Genomic DNA, 5,886 nt, shown 5'->3' on the forward strand with positions numbered 1-5,886 from the left:
TCACTTCACTTTCCATGCAGGCAAAGCCATTTGCAGTCAAGAATCATAATTACTTGCCTGAATCTGGCAGACTGCTGATTAATTCTTCACTTACTAACAAGAAATGATAAAGCTACATGAAGAACAAAGATTGTTATAATAGTGTCTTTTTGTGAATGCTACCTGACTACTTTGCTCACAGAAATAAAAACTGAGAATAATTGCTTAGTTACACTACTGAAGAATTTTTAAAAGCAAAAAGATGTCCAGCAATTCCACTTCTGGTTATATACCCAAAAGAATTGAAAGCAGGGACTTTAACAGACATTTTTACAACAAAATTTATAGCAGTATTATTCGCAGAAAAAGGTGAAAATATTCTAAATGTCTATCAATGGATAAACAAAGTGTGGTATAAACATGCATTAGAAAATTATTCACCCCTAAAAAGAAATAAAATTCTGATGCATCAAGAGAATAAAAAGATAAGCCACAGACTAGAAAAAATTGCAAAACACACATCTGAAATAACTGGTATATAAAATATACAAAGAATTCTTTATACTCAACAATAGGAAAGCAAACAATTAAATTAGAAAACAAGCAAAATATCTGAACATACACCTCACCAAAGACGATATCTAGATGGCAAATAAGCATATGAGAAGATGTACAACATCCTGTGTCACTAGGGACTTGCAAATTAAAACTGCAATGAGATACCACAGTATACCTACTAGAATGGCAGACATTCAAAACACTGACAACATCAAATACTTCCAAAGACATGGAGCAATAGGCACTGTCATTTACTGCTGGCACAAATGCAAAATGGTACAGCCACTTTGGAAAAAAATTTGACAGTTTCTTACAAAACTAAACACACTCTTACCACACGATCTAACAATCACACTCATTGGTATTTACCCACAAAGTTAAAAACTGACATCCATACAAAAAATCTGCCTAAATGATTATAGCAGCTTTACTCATAATTGCCAAGAGTTGAAAGCAATTAAGATGTCCTTCAAGAGGTGAATGAATAAATAAATTGTGGTACATTCAGACAGTGGAATATTCCTCAGTGATAAAAATATATGAGCTACGAAGCCACAAAGACATGGAAGAAACTTAAAAGCATATTACTATGTGAAATAAGCCAATCTGAAAAGGCTACATACTATAGGATTCCAACTATATGACATTTTTGAATAGTCAGTACTATGGAGACAGTAAAATATTGGTGGTTGCCAAATATTAGTGGAGAAAGAGGAGTGAACAAGTGCAGCGCAGAGAATTTTAGGACAGTGAAACTATTCTGTACAATACTACAATGGTGGCTACATGTCACTATACATTTGTCAAAAGCCATAGGATGCACACCACCGAGAGTGAACCTTAAGGTAAACTATGAACTTTGGGTGATAATGTTGTGTCATTGTAGATGTATCAGTTGTAACAAATGGACTGCTCTGGTGTGGAATGTTCATAGTTGGGGAGGCTCTGGAAGGGGCAAGCAGAGGGAATATGGGAAGTATCTATACTTTCCATTCAGTTTTCTGACACTGAATTTTCTGAAACTGAATGGAAAGTACAGAGATTACTTTGCTTGGCCTGAAGGGAAAGTGAAGTGAATAGAAGCAATTGGCAATTTATAAAATACCTTTAAACACAAAAAAGATGTCCCGTAATTCGCAATTGAAAGGATAAATCCTGGTTTCAAATAAAGGTCTGAAACTTCTTTTTTAAAAATCTATTTAAAAAAAATTGATACATGCTATGACATAGATAAACTTTAAAACATTATGCTAAATGAAATAAACCAGAGACAAAATGACAAATATTATATGATTCTACTCATATGAAATAGCTAAAATAAGCACATTTATCGGGACAGAAAGTAGAATAGTGGTTACTAGTGGTTGGGAGGAGGGGGTAATAGGAAATTGTTTAATGGATACAAAGTTTTGGTTTGGGTTGATGAAAAAGTTCTAGAAGTCAGCATGATAGCAGAAGGGGAGGTCCCCGTCTTTGTCTCGACCCCTCCTCTCCCCCATAAAGAACAACAATTGGACAGCTATCCATGAATAAAATTCACTATAGAAAAGCCAGGAGCCTACTTAAAAAGCTATAGAAACACAGTAAAGCAAAAAAAGAAAAAAAAAACACACAAAACCTTGAGAATAACTGCACAAAAAAATGGTTTTATTTTGCCTACAGCATCCCATTCACTAGGTCAGAACTGCTCAACATGGAAACTCCCCAGCTCTGGAGTTCCCCTCACAGGAAAAAGCACAGTGAGGTGAACAACCAGCTACCCCAGCCTTTCAGGACCCTGCCTAAGTGACCCACCTCAGTTTCACCTCACCCAGATTGCTGGTGAGACCAACATTGTTGAGACATCCGGTGATGACTAGGGACACAAAAAGGTGGGAGTTACCATTATCAGTTAAGCTGCAGGAACCGCCAGGGTCCCAGGGACTTTTTCTGCACAGGACACCAGCAGCCTTTTCCACTGAGGACGTCCAGAGCCCTGGTGGCCACCATGCATGCCCCACAGATTTCACTCCTGAGAACGCTGCACTGTTCACCATCACAAACCCCGGTGGTCTGTTCTGCAGAGGACTCCAGCAGCTTTTGCTGCCTAGGAAAGCAACAGCCAGAAAAGCCACAGGGGACCCCTTTAGCTTTCAACACCAAGGGCCTTGAAGTTTATCACCTTTGCATTATCTAGCTGCCTGAGCTGCTATTCCTCTCCTCCCTTCTCCCTGGAGCCACCCCCAGCCACTACTACTGGGGAATCCCTGGCCTGGATACATAGCACAGCTGCAGTGTACGTGCCCACAAGTAGCCTGGGCCCCTACCACAGGCCCCAGTTCCCATTGCCACATGTGCAGCCGTGTGCACGTGTGCAGCCAGCCTCAACCCCCCTTGCCAGGCCTCACACATCCACGCATGTGCCCATAGCTGGCCCATGTAGCCACATACTTGCTTACTGCCAGTCTCACTGGTTGCCACTGCATGTGCACTTACAGCTGATCCTGCCCCCCATTGCCTGCACTCACCACTGTGCTTGCACCCATGGTGGACCCCTGCAGCCTGACACCTGTCACCAGCCTTCACTGCTGTGAGCAAATCTGCAATTAGCCCTGCAGCCACACACATAGACACCACCAACTCTAACTCCTATAACTGTATGACATACACTGTCAACTCCCAGTAATGAATGTGTCCACAGTTGGCCCCAGCCCCTCCCCTAGCCCTGACACACATGTGACACATGTGTGTCCACAGCTAGCTTCTGTCACTATGCACAAGTCTGCACCCAACTTCTAAAGCCAAGCACATGCATACTGCCAGCCCAAGCCCCCATTCCTGCTGCCTGCTCCCATCCCTTATTGCTGAACCTGGAGAAGCTACTGAGGTCCCCAACAATCCTAGCTGCCACCATGAAACTCCTACAGCTATTGCTGCCTAGGATCACACAGTTGCTAATGTCATGAATCCTAGCTGTCTGAGCTGATGAGACACAAAACATCCCCTCCAAACCTGGAGCCACCACAAGCTCCACACTTGGCACAGCACACTACTAGATCCAGTGCCAGAACAGACTCCAGCATGCCCCACCCCACTCCTTCAAATGAAAGACTTTTCTTAGGGAAGCCAGTCCATAAAATCTGAAAAAGTTGACTGCTTCTTCAAATGTGCAGACACCTACTCAAGGCTATAAGGATCACAAAGAATCAGGTAAACATGGCACAACAAAAGTACACAGTAAACTTCAACTAACTGAGCCCAAAGAAATGGAGATCCACAAACTGCCTATCAAAGAATTTAAAATAATTATTCTAAAAAGCCTGAGTGAGCTACATGATAAAGCAGATAATTTAATGAAATCAGGAAAAATGCAAAAACAAAATTGAAAGTTCAACAAGATAGAAGATATTTTAAAAAAAAAACAAATTTTTGAGCTGAAGAATACAATGACAACTAAAACATGCAATTAAGAAGTTTAACAGCAGACTTAACTGAACGGAAGAAAGAATAAACAAATTCACAGATGCGTTATTTAAAATTATCCAGTCAGAGGAGAAAGAGGAATAAAAAAATTAGAAAAAAGTCCTATATGATTTATGGGACACCATGAAGAGACCTAATATTTCCATTATTAGAGTTTCAGAAGAATAGAGAAAAGCACAATGCTTGTTTAAATAAATGCAGGCAGAATAATTTTCAAATCTGAGGAGATCTATGAATGTCCAGGTATATGAAACTCAAAGATTTCAAATCGATTCAACACAAAGATTTCCTTAAGAATCATTATAATCAAGCAAAATCAAAGACAAATAGAGTTTGAAAACAGCTTTGAAAAGAAATGAAGCGTATTACACACAAGGGAACCTCAATAAGGCTATCAGAAACCTTGAAGACCAAGAGGGAGCAAGATGATATATTCAAAGTGCTGAAAGAAAAAAACTACCAACCAAGAATACTTTCCTTGGCAAAGCTGTCCTTCAGAAATGGGAGAGATAATAATGACTCCCAAACCAACAAAAGGGGAGGGAGTTCATCACCACTAGACTTTCCTTATAAAAAACACTAGAGGGAGTGCTTAAGCAGAAAGAAAAAAATACTAATTAGCAACACAAAAATATATGAAAGTGTAAAACTCACTGGTAAAACTTAGTAAAATTTCTAACTTTACACTTCAAGGAACTAGATGAAAAACAAATTGGGCCCAAATTTAACAAAAGTGAGAAAATAAAAAAGATCAGAGCAGAGATAAATGTAATAGAAATTAGAAAACCACTGGGAAAAATTGGTAAAACTAAGACTTTTTTTTTTTAAAAAGATAAAATTGAGAAACCTTTAGCTAGACAAAAAAAGGAAGACTCAAAATCAGAAATGAAGGAGACATTGCAACTGATACTACAGAAATACAAAAGATGATAAGAGTCTACCATGAACAATTATATAGCAACCAATTGAATAATCTAGAAGAAAAGAAATAAATTCCTAAAAGCATTCAACCTACAAAAAATTATCAGGAAAAAATAGAAAACCTGAATATACCAATAATGAGTAAAGAGATTGAATTATTAATAAAAAATTCCTTAACAAAGAAAAGTCCAGGAACAGATGGCTTCACTGGTGAATTCTACCAAGTACATAAAAAAGAATTGGTACCAACCCTTGTTAAACTCTTCCAAAAACTGAAGATGAGAGAACACTCTGTAACTCATTTTACAAAGCCAGCATTTCCCTGATACCAAGCCAGACAAGAACACTACAAGAAAAGAAAATTACTTTTCAAGCTAGTATCCCTGATTAACATAAATGCAAAAATCCTCAACAAAACACTAGCAAACCAGATTCAACAGCATATTAAAAAGATCATACACCATGATCAAGTGGGATTTGTTCCTGGATTAGAAGAAAGATCTCAACAAATTATGTAAAGAGCAAATGTACCTCAATATAATAACAGCCATATATGACAAGCCCACAGCTAACATTATATTTGATGGTGAAAAGCTAAAAGTTTTTCCTTTAAGTTTAAGAACAAAACAAGGTTGTCCATAGTCACCATTCCTACTTTACATAGTGTGGAAGCCCTAGCAAGAGCAATTAGGCAAGAGAAAGTAATAAAAATATCCACATCAGAAAGGAAGCAGTTAAATGTTCTCTATTTGCAAATAACTTAGTCTTACGTAAAAAAAAATCTTAAGGACTCCATCAGAAAACTCTTAGAACTAGTAGGCAAATTAAGTAAAGTTGGAGGACACAAAAATCAACATATAAAAAGCAGTTGTACTTTTATATACTAACACCCAACTGTCCAACCATGAAATCAAGAAAGCAATCCCATTTACAATAGCATCAAAAAGACTGGATTACTTAGGAGCA

At 38.2% G+C, this 5,886-nt stretch overlaps 1 annotated feature.

Moving 5' to 3' along the window:
* Nucleotides 2,183-2,232: an enhancer, noted in NCBI's record as "active region_6156". NCBI's record gives its function as "activates an Ori minimal core promoter by ATAC-STARR-seq in GM12878 lymphoblastoid cells {active_cell/tissue: GM12878}" and the evidence as "EXISTENCE:reporter gene assay evidence [ECO:0000049][PMID:35858748]".

This window comes from Homo sapiens, chromosome 12 (assembly GCF_000001405.40).
Source record: "Homo sapiens chromosome 12, GRCh38.p14 Primary Assembly".
NCBI lineage: Eukaryota > Metazoa > Chordata > Mammalia > Primates > Hominidae > Homo > Homo sapiens.